This window comes from Homo sapiens, chromosome 6 (assembly GCF_000001405.40).
Source record: "Homo sapiens chromosome 6, GRCh38.p14 Primary Assembly".
Taxonomy (NCBI): domain Eukaryota; kingdom Metazoa; phylum Chordata; class Mammalia; order Primates; family Hominidae; genus Homo; species Homo sapiens.
The window spans coordinates 108,694,909-108,712,937 of NC_000006.12; the positions used below are offsets into that span (position 1 = coordinate 108,694,909).

General features: G+C 46.6%; 4 annotated features.

The window, feature by feature from the left end:
* Positions 3,667–4,866: an enhancer, noted in NCBI's record as "CDK7 strongly-dependent group 2 enhancer chr6:109019778-109020977 (GRCh37/hg19 assembly coordinates)". NCBI's record gives its function as "activates an origin of replication core promoter dependent on BRD2, BRD4, P300/CBP, MED14 and CDK7 cofactors, with strong dependence on CDK7, by STARR-seq in HCT116 cells {active_cell/tissue: HCT116}" and the evidence as "EXISTENCE:reporter gene assay evidence [ECO:0000049][PMID:35650434]".
* Positions 3,667–4,900: a biological region, named in NCBI's record as "CDK7 strongly-dependent group 2 enhancer GRCh37_chr6:109019778-109020977".
* Positions 4,094–4,900: an enhancer, noted in NCBI's record as "H3K4me1 hESC enhancer chr6:109020205-109021011 (GRCh37/hg19 assembly coordinates)". NCBI's record gives its function as "activates a minimal SCP1, AML or CMV promoter by ChIP-STARR-seq in primed H9 embryonic stem cells {active_cell/tissue: H9 hESC(primed)}" and the evidence as "EXISTENCE:reporter gene assay evidence [ECO:0000049][PMID:30033119]".
* Positions 12,458–12,752: a silencer, noted in NCBI's record as "tiled region #15105; HepG2 Repressive non-DNase unmatched - State 8:EnhW, and K562 Repressive non-DNase unmatched - State 24:Quies". NCBI's record gives its function as "represses a minimal TATA promoter and a strong SV40 promoter by Sharpr-MPRA in HepG2 and K562 cells {active_cell/tissue: HepG2 | K562}" and the evidence as "EXISTENCE:reporter gene assay evidence [ECO:0000049][PMID:27701403]".

The window sequence follows — 18,029 nt, forward strand, 5'->3', positions numbered from 1 at the left end:
TGGGATTTTTTTTCTCTTCTTCGAGAAAACTGAAAGCATTTCAGAGAAACAAAATTTCCTTTCAGCAATATCCCCTGAGGCCAAAGCTACCACTTCCCAAGAAGCTGGGTGAATTCCAAGATTACAGGTTAGTGGAGAAAGATGTTCAGGATGTGGGCCCAGAGGAACAGACGGTTAAAGCTGCCAAGCCTATTGCCGCTAGAATGCAGGCAACCCCTTGGGGCTCCCAGCACGTACCTGAATGTCTCCCATCTGGGATCACTATGAAGCACGAGAGTCTAAGGGGCCCTTGGAGAAACACCAAGGAATAAAAGAAGCCTGCTCATGAAGCATAAATCCCAAAATAATGAAGAAAGGCCTCATGGTGGGCCTCAAAATGTGGGCCATTAACCACCTGCATCAAAATAACCTGGAAAGCTTGTTTAAAATGCAGACTCCTGGGTTTACCCCAGATCCAGTGAACCAGATCACTGGGGCATGGGGCCCTGGACTCTTAACACCTTCCCCAGGTAATGGTTGCCAACTCTAGGTAGAGGACTAGTAGCCAAATTCCTATACTAATACACATGACACAACATGACACGACTGTGCACTACACTACACTACACACCACATTACTGTATATACTACGCTGCACATAACACTGTACACTACACCACAGCTCCCTGTGCTACACAGTGTCATGCTGTCCCCTACCACACTATGCGATACGACTGGGCTTCCTCCTCAGTTAAATGCTCTACTTTCTCATTGATCCATTTTTTTTTAATTTTCTAAAAGTAGTTTATTTTTTAATTTTTTTTTTAAAGTGTTTTAATTTACATACAGTGAACTTCACACCTTTTGGTATCCAGTTGCATGAGGTTTAACAAATGCATAGAGTTGTGTAACTGCCACCACAGCCAAGATACAGAACAGTTCCATCCCGTCTTCCAGATTCCTTTGTGCTCCCCGGTTCTGGTCACTCCCTTCCTGCACACTTACCTCTGGTAACCACTGATCTGTTCTCCAACCCTGGAGTTTTGAGGGTTCCAGAATGTAATATAAATGGAATCACACAGTCCATAGCCTTTCGAATCTGACTCCTTTCACTTAGCATAAGGCATTCGAGATTCATCCATGTTAGTGCATGTAGGAGTATTTAATTCCTTTTTATTGTTGATATTCTGTTGTATAAATGTACCATGGTTGTTTATCCATTCCCCAACCAAGGGACATTTGTGTTGTTTCTGGGTTTTGGTGATAAACTCAATGATCCAAATTTAATGAACTGATTCCTTTCTCTGGGAGAGGAGAATCTCGTATATTGGCCATGTGATAAAAGGAGTAGGTGGTGGGTCAAAGAAAATGGCCTACACATGGTTTCTGCCATGGGCCACCTATTTAACAGTCCAGGGTCAGCCATGGAGGACCCATATTTGACCTTATGACAAACTTGCTGGTCTTCCAAAAATCATAAAACAACCAGGTCTTCACAATGCTGCAGCGCCTATCTTTTACAAATAAAACAAAGGGCCCTTGGAACACCAGGCCCCAAAACTCACTGGGAAGCCATCTGAGTGAGCACCTTAGCCTTCCACTGTGGTGTGCCCCACGCCTTCCATTGTGGCGTCCCCCACAGGGGAGTCATCCGGTGGCATCATCCTTCTTCACAGCTCTCTTCAGCTTACAATGTTTTTGCCGGACTGGATCTATTTGATCTTCCAACAAGCCCAAGAAGGAAGAAAGGCAGACATTTTTATTTTTACTTGCACCATTTTGAAATCAGGTTGCCAAAGCTCAAAAGCTCAAGGCAGCTGGTACTTATTCAAAGTCAACAAGCCCCTTTGGCTGGGGAGACCCCCTGACTCTTCCCATTCTCAACCCAGTGTTTTCTGGTTTTAAAGATGTAAAACTTCTGGCCGGGCGCGGTGGCTCATGCCTGTAATCCCAGCGCTTTGGGAGGCCGAGGTGGGTGGATCACCTGAGGTCAGGAGTTTGAGACCAGCCTGGCCAACATGGTGAAACCCCGTCTCTACTAAAAATACAAAAATCAGTCGGGCATGGTGGCAGGCACCTGTCATCCCAGCTACTCTGGAGGCTGAGGCAGGAGAATCACTTGAACCTAGGAGGTGGAGGTTGCAGTGAGCTGAGATCACACCACTGCACTCCAGCCTGGAAGACAGAGTGAGACTCCATCTCAAAAAAAAAAAAGGAAAAGAAAAAGATGTAAAACTTCTGCAGATGGACGATGCAAGGGTAGTGGTCAGCTCTTTAATCTGCACATTTTAGAATCCAGTTTTGCTCAAAGTAAGTAATAAGGTGGGCGAAAAACAGAACAGAGCTGAGTTTAAACCACACATCTGCTTGCCAGCTACACAGCCTCCATGCTCTCATTTATAGGATAGGCGAAGAAATTCCTACCTTCTAGTGTTGTTGCAAACATGAGAGGCTGCAGAAGAGTTCATAATGCAAGTGGGTAAAGCATAAGAGGCACTCTATAAATGGCAGCAATTATTATTAATTTGGTTTATTAAGAGAAACCATAGAATGTACACACCATTAACCATCTGTGGTAGGTGCTCTCTGCCTCTCAGTACTGCTCAGGATTTCTGAGGCCTAATTTTCTCCTGGCAGCACTAAGGGAAACCAAGGAGTTAACAAGGAGGCCTGGAGGCTGGCATGGCTGGGACTGTTAGTTCCTAATGAGGGGCCGGCCCGAGGAGGAGGCCTAGCAGCTGTGAGGAGGGGCGCTGAGGGTGTCTCCCATGGAGGAGACTTGGGCTGGAAACTTTGTTTTTCTTATTTCTGAACTCGGTTTTACACTCCTGAGGGGAGTTCCTAGTGTCTGGACTTGGTCTTTGAGCCCTGGCGCTGGTGGTTCCCTGAGGAAATGCCTCGCGGCTTCTTATGGGGCAATGTTGTTATTGATGTTGGGCCAAGGTGGTTAGAAAATGGGATCCTCCAAATGGGGGCCTTGTGGTTTGGCCACACGGAGATATCTCCACAAGCACAGCCGGGGTGGGGACAGCTGCCCACAGGGTAGGGCTTGAGGGTAACGTGGTGCTTCTCCTCGGCCGCCCCATCCTCTCCTGTCCTTGGCATTATTCTTACATGTCGCCTGTATTCTGGCTTCAGACTCTGCTGAGAGAAACGCGCTGTGTTAGGGCCAGCTGGGCCCTGAGCAGACTCCTGAGAGCCAAAAAGCAGGGAGACCAGGGTGCCAGGGGCACTCTGGAGAGTGAGAGGTGCTCAGAGTGACAGCACCCATGGGGGGTAGAGATGCCAGGCTGAGAAGAGGGAGAGGGAGAGGTAGCTCTACCTGGAGCAGGCCCCAGTAACCTCCACCCCCTCTAGAGGCAGAGGCTTCCGTGACCCCCAGGGTCAGCCCTGTCCCCCTCAGCCCTCGGTGGTCTCCCCTCCAGCACCCCAGGTGGTTGGCTATTTCCACATTGTGCCTACCAGACAGCTGTGGCAGGTGCTTTAAATATGTCTGTGGAGTGGTTGAAGAAATCTGAAGAAAAGAGGGAAGTCTGATGGTATCTCCAAGGTGACTTGGAGGGGCTCTGGGAAAGGATCTGCCCACTCTCCAGCTTCGCCATGATGGGTAGGCTCTCACAGGAGTGTGGCGGGTAACCGCCCTCACTCCTGGCCTTTGAGTTTCATTTCCGGTGAGTTTCTCCTTCCTTTTTATTCCAACTCTTCCTGGAAGCAGTGAGTGCTGGTTTAGTTTTAGGTACACATAACATTTGTCTTCATAGCCCCCACAGATGCAAGAGGCCTCATCCCTGTTCTGTGTCCCCTCTGGGTAGGCTCATGTGTGCAGAAGGCAGCCTGGGAAAGCCCGTTCACGGAGCTCACTTTGCTTGTTCTTTATCGTGGCTTCATGCCTCCCATTTGATGCTGCAGGTAAGAGGGCTCATGACCATATAAAGCAAATTGGGTGCCGGCTGTTACAAAGGGGAGGCTGCAAAGAAACAAAAGCATTTCAGCCAAGTAAATGCCCAGAATGTGCTGGGGAGTGGGGAAGGGAGGGGATAACATAAAGCCCCTGTCCCAAGGATGCAGCTTATGCCCCCTGGTCTAATGTGGGAGGGGGACGGTAATGATAATATAGTGTGAGAAGAGCTAGGACACGGTGAGTGACTGACAAGTGACCCAACGGGCAAAGCCAATGGCCCCCTCCACGTTCCACCCCCTGGGCATGAGCACCCTCTCCCATCTTGCCCCTTGATTTGTTGTGTCCTTGCCTGTTGCCTTGGGCAGGCTGACTTCTCTCCTTCCACACAGGGAGGTGGGCAGGAGGATGCCAGGAGCCCGTGTGACATCCAGCTGGGCCAGTGAGCCATTCGGTGGGTTCGCAGCAGTTTTGATGATCACCTGTCCATTTGTCAATGCTTTTCCTCACCCTCATTGCCTCAGAGGCTGTTAGTGTATGGAACTGTGATGCATATTCTATTATCTTCCCAGGGAATTACCTCAACGTTGGCCAGAGCTTAGCATTCTTAGCCACACGGGGCTCTGGAGGTATTTTTGGCGCAACTCGGAACTCCTGAGTGTCCATGCACTCTAGACTCGGGCTAGGATGCGAAGTAGGGATAAAGCAGATGTGGCGGGTGTGGCATGTCCCATGGACCCAGGCTTGGCCTTGCGTCCCCTTCTCCCTGAAGCCCGTTCCTCCCACTTGCTTCCTGGCTCCTTGGCCTCCCGCTGTCGTCACCCTCTGAATCCTTTCTTCTCCTCCCCACCGAGCAGGCAGAGGGAGGCAACTCTCATCACAGCTCAGGCCAGAGAGAGGAGTCCTAGGCCCTTGCTATTTTCAGAGCTAAAATTAAAGCCCATGGTTTGCTTCCTCAGCACTTAATTAGACTCCAGCGCCTCACAGGGCAGCCTCCTTCCCGCCCACCAGTGAAGGCCTGACCGGTGGGTTTGGAAGCTGACGCCATGTTCCTGGCAGGAGGGCTGGGGCCTGGGGTATTTTTACATATGAGAGGCTGTGGAGAGCAAAATGCTTGGCACTGAGCCAGTTAGACTAAATCAGTTGGGAGAGGGAGGGAGCAGGAAAGCTGTTATATCGTCCTTCCTTCTTTGAACTGCACTATAAATCTGCTAGACAGGAAATGGGATTGGGAGGGTAGAGGAGGGGGCTGTACAGTGAGGCTGGACTGGGGCCTGGGATACCACCACCCTCGCAGCCTGGCTCAGGTGAGGCCCTGCCCTGAAGGTGGGGTGAAGGGGGCCTCACTTGGGGCTGGGGGTGAGGCACACTGGTGGGTGTTCAGAGTTGTCTGGGTCAGCTAGGGTATGGGCTGACTGTATCTGCCCTCGTGTTATTTCTGGGCCCCTTCAGATCCTCCAACTAAAACCACCATCGGTGGAACAGCTTTTAGGACTGGAAGAGACTTCAGAGACCCTGTAATTAGGGTTTTGAGGACAAGAGAGGGAAAATAAATTACCCAAAGCCACATACCTTATGAGAACTGGAAGTGGGGATGGGACTTTTGACCTAGGACACGATGGCTGTGCACTGGCTCTCTCCCCTTCTTATTGCTGTCTCTTGGCTTTCTTGGGGGCACAAACTTTTCATTCCAGAGTAAAGGTAAGATATAAAATGCAGATGTATGTAAGTAAAATGACATACAGTCAATTCACACTAAGAGCTAAATAATTGATATTTAGCACTGTTACTGAGTAGAGATTTTGATGAGCAGAAGGCCCCTGTGCTCCGTGGAGGTGTCCTTCTGACCGTAAGGGTGGTGAGGCATCATTGACTTCATAATCAACCTAAGGCCATCTGGCCTCAGGGTTTCTGGAGGGGGCAGGTGGGGGAAGTTGAGACCTGGGATGTACCTGAAACAGAACCTGCTCCCTCCCAGGGAAGAGTGAAAACAGGACACCTGACTAATGACATCTCATATTTATCAATTTACAGCATTTCTCCAGAAAGGTCTAGATACCAGCCTTAGGGGAACCTCATTATTGTTGGATTAAACTTATGCCTACCCATGCATCTATAAGCCAAGGAACCTCTCCTGTTTTTTATCTCTCCTTTTCCCTCCTATAACACTCCTGAGGCTGCCTCTCAAATGTAGGAACCAATAGGTGAGAACCATGTAAGATCTTCGTATATACTCCTGAACCCTGAATTAAGTTAAGGAATAGCCATAGCCTGTATTTATTTTGCTTTTTTTTTTTTTTCAAGCACTATACTAGCATTATCTTATGTCATCTTGAAAACTATTATTATCATCATCCCCATTTCACAATGAGGAGAATGAAGCTCAGAAACGTTAAATGATTTGCCTAAGATCACCCAGGTGTCAGGGCCAAGATTTGAACCAAGGTAGGCTTATTCTAGAGACTATGCTTCACATACCTCATACTGCTTCCACTGGCAGAAATGAAGTTTTGGGAAGTATAGAGGGAAATAATAGAATTTTGTCCAGTAGCAAGAATGAGGAACACACTGTTTATTGCCTGGGCTAGAGGAGTCAGAGTGTGAGGAGTGTCAGGCCTTGGAGAGTGTTTGGCTGAGAGCTGAAGTTGGCGTGGGATTTCCATGTTCCATGGCTGGTGTTTGGCATATATTTCTGCTTTTCTGGGCAAATAGCCTAAATCTCCTCTTTACTTCTCTTGGATAGGGTCTTAGGCCAAAAATGCCATACTGCCCCCATTCCGTTCTTGCCTCAAATCTGTCACTTAGCTCATTTCAGTGGCTTAAACCTGCAATTTTTTGATGTCTACTGAATGCAAATAAAGCTGATTCTTGACACCGAGGAACAGTTGACACAAGCTCTTTGTTGTTGTTGTTGTTGATTTCAAATCCTCCTCCTCTTCACTCTCCTGTTACTTCTCTGTTATTTACTTTAGACATTTCATCACCACCACTAGGAAGCACACAGTGGAAGGAAACCATGTTTATTGTGAGCCTTATGCTGGTAACTAATTTTGCTAATAGTGCCACTGGAAAAAGACTAGTGGGGAAGTAGTTTGAGGCTTGGAGATTACCTTTTTGCCTCTGCATTCCCTGTAATCTGAGATCCCGGATAATGTCTAATGAGCTATAGAGAAGGGAAACAGAGAGGTGAATGGTTTGACAACTGCAACTGCTTTCCCATGAGGCATTTTCTGATTTTGAAGCACTAGCAGTTGCTGAGCAGCTGAGCAGAACTCGTGGCAGCCTTACAGGCCTGATGGGACAAAAGTTGGGATTCAAGAATTGTCAAGGGGAAGGGTCCTAATAAACATCCCAGTCTTTCAGATGGGAGCCTTGAAAGGCTATATACTGGTAATAAAGCTAGTCTGGTAATAGACTAGCACTAACAAAGACTGAAACCCAGATCTGAATCATTTTGATTTCAGATTAGATTAAAGAGATATTCTCCTAGCAAACTGCCTGCTAGAAACAAAAGTAAATTCACTCTAGAGGAAGATATCTGCTAGAACCTTAAATTATCACTACAGTTTTTCATGCATAGTTTCTGGCATGAACTTTTCAAAAACTACCAGGCATACCAGGAGATAGGACCAAATGACTGAATACCAAGAGAAAAAAAAAATGTTATGATTTTAAAAGATATGTAGAGTCTGCCTTAAGAAGAACCAAATTCTAGGAAAACTGTAGGACTGAAATTAAGAACTTGGTAGAAGGGCTTAAAAGCAGATTAGACACAAGTGAAGAGAATATTCATGAACTTGAATATAGGTCAGAAGAAAATATTTATTCAGATGACTATAATTATAACAAGATAAAAAATTTATGAAATACAGAAAAGAGTCTAAGAGATATACAGGACCCAATGTAAACATTTGTGTAATTAGAGATCTGGAAGGAGAGAAACAATGTAGCATAAACAATATTTGAAAAGAAAATGACCGAGGATTTAAAAACTAACAAAAACATAAAGCCACAGATTCAAGAAGTGTTACAAACTCCAAGCAGGGAAATAACCCCAGAAACAAATGAAACTACAATATACATCATAGTAAAACAGCTGAAAAACAAAGGAAAAATTGCAAAAGTAGCTAGTGTAAAAGAAAATAAAAAATACATTATACGCAGACACAATATTCAGCTATTTTTTCAACAAAAACAATGGAAGCCAAAGAACAAAATTATGTCTGTAAAGGCAAAAAAGGAAACAAAAAAACCCAAACAAAAAGACAGCTAAACAACCTAAAATTCTACACCCAGAAAAAATATCACTCAAAAATGAAAGTGAAATAAAGAGATTTCCAGACAGACAAAAACTGAGATGGTTTATAAGTAGCTGACAGACACTAAAGGAAAAACTAAATAGTTTTTCAGGTAAAAGGAAAAGAATTTCAGATGGAAGCAAGGAGTTGCAGAAAGGAATGAAGAGCATTGTAAAGGGTAAACACATGGGAAAATCAAAATTAATACTGACTGTATAAAATAATATCTTGAGAGAGAATATATGTAGAATTAAAATAATACACAAAAAATAAGAAGGAGGAAAAGGGAGTTGACACATTCCAATGTCCTTAACATAGTCCAGGAATTGAAAAAAGTACTAATTTATATTGAACTTTAATAAGTCAAGGATGCATATTGTCATCTTTAAGTCTAGAAGCATATATTTAATTCCACAGAAAGAGAAGTCTTGTGCTCATGTTAGAAGGTAGTCTTGATTTGTCTACCTTCCTCTTTGAGAAATTTATTTCTTCCAACAGCCTAATTGTCAATCAATGTTAAAAAAAGATTAATGAAAGATTTTGTAGCGGAAAGGATTAACCCATAGATCTCATTATCCCAAGTAATGACACAAGATAAAAATAATAAATAGAGCTTTTTTTAAAGTTTTGGATAAATTCCTGGATGTGAGATCCATAATTGACTCTGAAAGAGAAACTGGATGCTGCTTGAGTGTAGCTCCAACCTTTAAAGTTGACTTCACTGAGGAAAACCATATGCTTCCACCGTGGATGGACTTTGGGTTTGACTCAGTGCAGCCATCTTATTAAGAATAAGCAGGCCAGGGCCAGGCGCGGTGGCTCACGCCTGTAATCCCAACACGGTGGGAGGCCGAGGTGGGCGGATCATGAGGTCAGGAGATTGAGACCATCCTGGCTAACATGGTGAAAACCCGTCTCTACTAAAATACAAAAATTAGCTGGGCGTGGTGGTGCTGCACCCTTGTAGTCCCAGCTACTCAGGAGGCTGAGGCAGGAGAATCACTTGAACCCGTAGGCGCGGAGGTTGCAGTGAGCTGAGATCGCACCACTGCACTCCAGCCTGGGTGACACAGCAAGACTCTGTCTCCAAAAAAAAAAAAAGAAAGAAAAGAAAATAAGCAGGCCAGCTGCTTGGTTCAGAAACACAGGCTTTTTAGCTACCAGGATGAAGACTCTGAGGATTCAAGCACTGGCCTCACTACTAGTAAATTATTAATATTGAATGTGGCTCATGCCCGTAATCCCAGCATTTTGGGAGGCTGAGGCGGGAGAATCACTTGAGCCCAGGAGTTTGAGACCAGTCTAGGAACATGGCAAAACCCCATCTCTACAAAAAATACAAAAATTAGCCAAGCTTGGTGGCACACGCCTGTATTCCCAGCTACTTGGGAAGCTGAGGTGCGAGGATCAATGGAGCTCAGGATGTCAAGGCTTCAGTGGGCCATCATTGTGCCACTGTGCTCTAGCCTGGGTGACAGAGAGAGACCCTGTCTCTAATAATAATAATTATTATTATAATAACGTTAACAACTGTGTGTTTGCATGTGGAAGCAGTCAAGATCATACAACTTAATATGATTTTGGAGTTGGTGACCTGATTGTCCCTGGCTTTAGCTCAAGGTCTATGCCTAACCAGCTGGGAGATATTGGGCATTAGGCATGCCACTCATTGTATCTGGGTCTCATTCATGAATAGGGATACAAAGTCTACTTCTGCAAAGTTGTTTTGGGAGTTGAATGAGAAGTGGCATGAAAGCACTTGGTTAAATATGATGCGCTGTTTGAATGTGAGGTATTGCTATTTTACCCTCAAAGAAAAAAAATAGTGTCCTGGTTACCATATTTTATGGTCAGAAATATTTGTTTAGTGCAGTAAGATGCCCTGTGATAGAAGGATTTCATGGTCAAAGAAGCCTAGGAATCCCCAGATGCCTTTCTGCCTTCGGTGATCCCCAGCGCTCACAACCCCTTTTTCTCCTCCAGAAATACAAACACTCATTAGCCTTTGAAAGGCCCTGAGAAGTCCAGCAGCAAAGACATCAGTTGAAGTGTGTTTTATCTGGTGTTTTCCAACATAATTTGACAAATAAAGCTTCTTTGTGTAACATCTCACCACATCTCTATATACATTCATACTTTCATTCTCTCCCTCTGTGGCCTCATCCATACCCACACTCATACACCGGTGTCTGCCCAGCTGATATTTCTAGTCTGGACTGCTCCTGTGAAGTTCAGGCCGATTCACCCAATTGCTTCCACTTGGTTGTCTGAGGACAACTCAAATTCAATCTATCCAAATGTCTAAAATCAGAATCAGTACCCTCCATCCCAAACCTGGATCTTTTCCAGGATTCCCCAGCTTAATGAATGGCCCCAGCATCCTTCCAGCTCCACAAAGCCCAAAACCTTGCCACATCTCTTCCCCTCTTCCCTCACATCCCACACATATATTCTATCACAATTTCCTACCCAACTTATGTTCTACACATGTTTCATACCTATCCTCTTCTCTCCAGCCCCATTGCCACCATCCTGGTCCAGTCTACCCAGAGCTATCCCCGGGACCAGTACCAGAGCTTTCCAACTAGTCTCCCCACTATCTCATCCCCCTAAACCATCTTCTATGAAGGAGTAGGATAAGGCTTCAAAATCCCTGTCAAATCCGTCTTAAACCTTCTAATAATTTCTTCTTGCTCTTAGGTTCTCTGTGTCCCAATCACCAGGATTTTTCTATTTCTTCAGATGTCCCCAAGACAGGGCCTTTGCTTATGCCCTTCCTGATGCTAGGATACTCTCAGTGCCCCAGTCCAGTCCCTTTCCTAATTAACTTGCTCCCTCCTGTAGCTCTCAACCCAGATACAACTTCCTCAGGGAAGCTGTCCCCCAGACTTAGTCAGGACCCTGGTCGCCCACCCCACCATGGGCCTCTGCTTCATTTGTAAGTTGCCTCTCAACTTACAACTGCACATTTCCTTTTTTTTGTTGTTTTTTTTGAGACAGAGTCTCACTCTGTCTCCTAGGCTGGAGTGTAGTGGTGTAATCTCTGCACACTGCAACTTCTGCTTCCCGGGTTCAAGCAATTCTCCTGCCTCAGCCTCCCAAGTAGCTGGGAATTACAGGTGCCTACCACCACGCCAGGCATTAATAAAATTTTGTGTTTTTAGTAGAGACGGGGTTTTACCATGTTGGCCAGGCTGGTCTTGAACTCCTGAGGTGCCCGCCACCATGCCGGGCATTAATAAAATTTTATGTTTTTAGTAGACACAGGGTTTCATCATGTTGGCCAGGCTGGTCTTGAGCTCCTGACCTCGTGTGATCTGCCTGCCTCGGCCTCCCAAAGTGCTGGGATTACAGGCCTGAGCCACTGCAACGGGCCACATTTGCTTTTGTATTATTTAAATTAATGTCTTTTCTCCCAGACTAGATTGTAATGCACCTCATCAGGGTAGGACCTTGCCTATTTAACTCAATATTTTCTATCAGAAAGCCCCCACAAGTAATTTTTGCTGTAGAAAAAAAATCTCCTCTTCTTCACCACACATTCCACACCTCCGTTTCTGCTCTCCCGCCTCTCTGGTCTCCAGCTTTTTCAGAAAACAAAAACTCAACTGTTAGGCTAAGCTCCTCTTTTCTCTCCAAAGATTAAGCCATCTTACTGACTTCTCCAAAGAGCCTCTTTCCTGCTCGTCTGTTTCCAAGTTCACATTCCGGCTGCCACCCAGGCTGCCCACTGCCTGCTGCAGGGCTCCATCCACATCCATCACACTGTGCACGGCACCCCTGCACTGTGCGGAGCTACAGCCCGAGGCCACTCTGCCTCATCTTTAATCAAAAGGGCAATTTCTGTCTGATTTAAGTATCTGACCCAGAGCAGTTTTGGAGGCTAATTCGTACCACTATTCCAGGTCCCTGTTCCCCTGCTGAAACCCCAAGCCCCCTGCCCACATACAGAAACTTGCTGACGCTTTTGCTTCGATCCTTGGGGCGAAATGAGAGCCTTGGTTTGCTTGCTTGTTCTGGTTTCAGTTGGGTCCCAAGTCAGCCCCTACCTTTCACAAGTCTAGGGCTTAGGACAGGCTGTTCTCTCTGCCCAGGAAGGTTACTCCACATCCCACCTTCTTCCCCTGCTTGGTTTAGTCCTACTCATCCTTCAGGCCTCAGTTTAGGTGCCACTTCTGCAAAGGAATCTCTCCTGACAAATCAACTTAAAGTTTCGGTTACCCTGCTATTCTCTCCTATTTCATGCTAGTCCATCTAGACATCCATTGCAATTTGTATTTCTATATTTATGTGTGTACTTATTTGCTTAATGATTTTCTCTTTACTAAACCATAAACTACATAAGGGTAGGGCCAGTGTCTATTTTTTCACCAATCCCACGTGCAGCACAATGCCTGTTTACACAGCAGGCACTCCGTCAATGTGTACCTCAAGGAAGAAGCAATGAATGGACCAATGAATGTGCTTGCTCTTGAAACACCATTTGACCCTTGGAAATCTGCCCGGCTTGAAAACAACTCTAAGCCCAAGCAAAACTTAAGGAAGTGTAATTTGAAGAAATAATTTGTGTCTTGAACTTGTCAATGCCAATTCTCTGTGTATTTTGATTTGTTTTTTCACCCCTTGGGTTCAGAGTGACCTTGCCAGGCCTTCATCTCCTGGGGCACATACTTCCTTCTGCCCTGTAATAATAGGCTGCCTGGGGCTCACTGGGCTATGGTTTAAAAAGTCCGCAGGTGGCTTCTCCTCTCTCCAGCTAGGCTGGCTGGAAAGGGAGGGCAGGATTGTGTGTCCCTCCCTTTCTGCACCCCCTCCCCTCGCCCCGCCAGTCCTCAGAGGGAAGGCTGGGCTTTCGGTGCCCAAGCTCGGGTACATGTGGTCTTTTGGTTCTGCTGAAACAGACGTCCTGTGCCTTCTTGGTTCCATGTTTTTTACCTGAATTCATTCTCACTTGGAGCAATGCAATGCCAAAGCCATTTTTGCAGTAAAGCTTGCAGCAGAAAATGTTAGTGGTCCACCCATATTCCCCCCAGTTTACCATTTTCTGTGTACCCTGGGTTTTGGTGTGCATTCTCTTCCAAAGCCAGCACTGTGGCTTTTTGGCAGACAGCCCTCAGGGGCTCTGGAGCCACTTTGTGTGCGTGGATGAAGAGTCTGGAAACTGACTTGCCCCCCAGCTCCCTGGATTAGGCCCTGAGAATGTTGGCCTGAGATCCTGCTCTGCCCCGCCCCCCCGCCACCACTCCTCTCCTAGTGTCCTTACATCACATCCACACAAAGCCTCAGCTAGGGGCCTGTTTAGCGGGATCCCAACCTGAGACACTAGACATCAGGAGTGGGGCTGGGAAGCAAAAGCACACTGAAGCCAGGGTGAACAAGAACCACAAGAAGGGGTCCAGGAGCGCCTGGGCGGAGCACAGACACTGTCCACTTACATCTCACATTCAAGTTCACACCTTCCTATCACGGAGTCTTCATCTTGGTGATGGGCCACAATTTATGGGGGGAGCCTTACAAGAGGAGAGTTAGTTGGATGATCCACCATTCTCACCTTTTATAGCTTGTCTGGAGGCAAAACAGATATTCATTACAACCCTCCTGGGCCCCCCATCCTCAGCTGGCTGGCACTTCCACTGGTTGTTTCCTAATGGGGTGACCCAGCCCGTCATCCTTGAGGAGTCTAAGCTCCTGGTTACCATGGCTGTGGTTGCTATAATGACCTGGTCACAGTTAACCCTGGGCATGGGAGTGACCTAGAGATGCCCTGCGTTCCACACATCCTCCCCCCGGCTCCATTGTAACAGGGACAGAGCCTCCTCCTACTGACTGGGGCCAATCATGCCTGCCAGTATGGTAACTCCTTTCTTTGCCTGATGGTCTGCCAGGATGAGGGGACCAACCTCAAATGACAAGGTGGTTGCCATCGATTTCGGTTTCGTGGGACTCTGTCCCTGGTAGAAGTGTCTCCCTTCCCTTCTAGGAATTAGGACTTCTAGACCACCGAACCTAAAGTTGTGGCAGCAGGAAGCACAACTTCCTCCAAGTAGGTCCCTGGGAATGGTGGGGAGCAGGACCACCCTCATCCCATTGCTTCCTCCCCCTCTCGTGGGGACGACTCAGGTGTGTCCATTCAGGGGTCCTTTGCAGGATCAGCCTAAAGCTGCACTCAGAGCCTCTGCTGTGACTTTGCCCTTGCTTGGCTTTGTCCCCTTCTCTGTGCTGCTTCCCCCACTCCCTTACTGGTTACCCCTGGGATCCCTTCCTTAATCAGTTACTTGTACCTAAAGTCTGCTTTCTGGAGAAGCCAACCTAAGACAGAGCTGGAAGCCATGAGGAGTCGGGCGGGCCAAGCACTCCAGCTTTGAACATAAGATTGAGCACGGCCGGGGCTGAAGGGAGGAAGTCAGAGCTACTGACTAGACCTTGAACTGCAAACCGAGGATCCTGCCCCTGTTTCTACCTCACTAAAAACCAAAAAAATGGGTCTCTGCCTTCCCAGGTATCTGATAAGATGATAATGCTTTAAACTCTGACAGTGTAGGAGAAATACTGTCCCAAAGTGCTTCTTGCACGTTTACTTAAATGTGATGAATTTTAAAAACAATGAAGTTACTTGCAAATAGTGTGTCATATAATAGTATAACACCACTGCATATGACGATAGCTAACACTCCCCATGCATCCCTCTGGCCATGACCTCTGCGAAGTACCCTACGTGGTTCTCTCCTTTCCTTCTTACAACTACCTTATGCAGAATGTACGACTATTAGTCCGTCATCCCATTTTACAAATGTGGAAACTGAAGGATAGAAACTGATCCACCTGTGTGAGCTGCAGAGCCAGGATGAAACGCAGGCCTGTGCTCTCAGCCGCCCGCTGAACCTCCAGCAGGGAGACAGAAGTGGTCCATCTCCTTCCCCAGCTGAGGAAGTGGGATGTCTGTGGCAGGCAGGGCATTTGCCATTCGGATTTTTAAGCTTGCACGCACAGAGCCCATGGTGTATTTAAGCTGACAAGAAACTGCTACTTGGCTAGCCTCCTCAAAGAGGCCAGGAGCAAGACCCAAAGCTCCTTTGATCCTCCTCCAATACAGGAATCCAGCTGATATTAATATTTGGTATTACGATGGTTTCATTTGACATTTTCATGAGGAAATCTTGGCTTTACTTGGTTCCCGGGCTGGCAGGTGGGGCCAGTGCCAGGAAGCACACTGTATACTGTATACTGTATACAGAGTCAACAGCCTCACAGCAGGTTGGTGTTCCAAACCTCCTCCTGAGGCCAGAGCCATCATTAAAACACACCTTCACTTAGAGCTGTTTTTCTCAAATAAGAAGATTACATTTTGGCTCCAAGAAGTTGTTTGTCAGGACTGTCTTCATCATGAGGTGAAGTTGAATTTGGCTTGGTGATTTGTGGGTCTGGGTTGCCCCTTTCCCTGGGCTGCCCTCACAGACAAGACACGTCCCCTCATGGAATTAACGTCCCAGACTGCAAGCTCTGGGCGGGTGAGGACTGTTCTGTTTACTGCTGGCAGTAAGGCCTGTCACGCAGTGGGCTCTCTGTGTATGGTTGTTACCAATTAATAAACAATTTAGTAAATGAGTAAAGATAGTCAGCATCGTTTGCTATTAAGAGCCCAGCCTCTGGAACCAAACACTTGGATTCAAATCCCAGCCAGGCATGTGACCACAGGCAGGCAACTTAACTTCTTAGTAGCTTGGTTTTCCCCTCCGTACAATGGGTGTGACACTACCTCCCTCGAGACTGATGGGAGGATGAACTGAGTTATTATGTACAAAATACTCAGAGCTTGGGCACACAGCACGTGCTGCCTCCCTGAGTCTTTATTGACTGGGACATCAAAGTGTGGCATTGGGCTAACACGCTGTCTCCTCAAAGTTGCTTCCTTCTGCTAATTCCACACTGGAAGAAACGACCTTTGTTGTGTCTGTATTTGTGTGAGATCCCTTCATTCTCATTCCTATCTCGAAGGGCTTTTTACCTGGAGGTGTGGTTTGCAAACTGCTGGATCTCACTGTTTGCACACAAAAAAAGTGCTGATATTCTTAAAAATCTCCCTTGTGAGGAGCGAAAAGAGATAATGCTTTTTTTTTTTTTTTTCTGGAAGCAAGGTCGACAATTTATCACCAGCTGCCAAAACCTTCCTCTAAGGCATCACTTCTCAAACTTTTAAAGCATTCTCCCTGTCAGCCCAGTCAGAATGACAAAATCCAGAGTCATTCTCAAGAGAGAGGGGTGACAGGAATAGAGGGGTGGCTGAGAGCATTAGCAGGGAGGGAGGGGCGGCTGGGGCTCTAGCGGAAAAGCCTGCTCACCACCAAATCTAGGACCCTGAAGTCTGCAAATGGCTATAGTTACAGATCAGTTTACCTGGAGGGGCTGCTTTCCACGGGCTTAGCAAGCTGTTCAATTCTTCATTTGTTGAGGCAACACATTTTTATTGAGCACTTACTGTGTGCCAAGTGTTGGGGAAAAGGTGACCAAGACAAAAGTCTCTGCCCACAGGATGCTTACATTCTGCCATCACTAACGTCTCCACTCACCACCCACTGAAAACACGACTCACGCAGGAAGCGTTTCTCTGAATGAAACCCTTAAACCCAGGTTCAAATCAAATTTAAGACACAGAAAGTAGAATAGTGTTTGCCAAGGGCAGTGGGGAGGGAGAATGCGGAGTTGTTCGGTGGGTGTTGAGTTTCAGTTTTGCAAGATGAGAAAGTTCTAGATATTGGATGCACAATAAACACTATGGAACTGTATACTTTAAAATTGTTAAGATTGTAAATTTTATGCTACTTACATTTTTTACCACAATAAAAAAAAAATGAAAAAAAAAAACATAGTTAAGGATGCAGTGTCCAAAGGCTGTGGCTGCTGCCCAGACCCAAAGGGAGGAATGGGAGGTATGTGTGTCTGGGTGTCTGTGCGTGTGTGGGGCAGGGTGGGGGTGGGGGAAGTTCTGCTCTGCCTCCCCTCCGTTTCAGAGGTCCTAGAAGCCCAGATTAAACAGTCACTAGAGAGTCTGCGGTTATTTTTTCTTGGAGAATAATAGGCCCCGCCACTGGGCCTCCAGAGAAAGTGAATTGAGGCTCAGTGGTTGGCAGTTATCTCCGCCAGGTCTCCAAGTCCCTGACTTTCTATCACAAGAGAGGAACTAGAACATAGTGCAGAGCAAGCTTACAAGAGTTCAAATCCCGTCTGTGCCACTGACTTAGCTATGTGGCCTCAGGTGAAGTACCTGATTTCTCAAGTGCCTCAGCCTCCTCATCTGTAAAATGGGGGAGGGAGGGGTAGTAATAGTACCCACACCATAGGCACAGAGCCATCCTATGAAAGCCCTTGGCATTTTGCCCCATGCTATGTTTGTGTTTAGGGAGTTCAGGGATTCTTGATAGGATTGAAGCATGTATGTGTGGGAGAATTCATGTCACATTTAAGAAATGGGAATCAGGCCGGGCATAGTGGCTCACACCTGTAATCCCAACACTTTGGGAGGCTGAGGCGGGCAGGTCAGGAGTTCAAGACCAGCCTGGCCAATGGTGAAACTCCATCTCTACTAAAAATACAAAAATTAGCTGGGTGTGGTGATGCACATCTGTAGTCCTAGCTACTTGGGAAGCTGAGGCAGGAGGATTGCTTGAGTTCAGGAGATGGGGGCTGCAGTGAGCCATGGTTGTACCACTGCACTCTAGCCTGGACAACAGGGCAAGACCCTGTCCCCCCCCCCCCAAAAAAAACTGGGCATCTGGGTGGCAATGTGTTCAGTGAAAACGTGGCTTCTTCTGGCCAGGAGAAGCTGACAGCCTGAACTGGCCTTTCTCTGGCCAGAG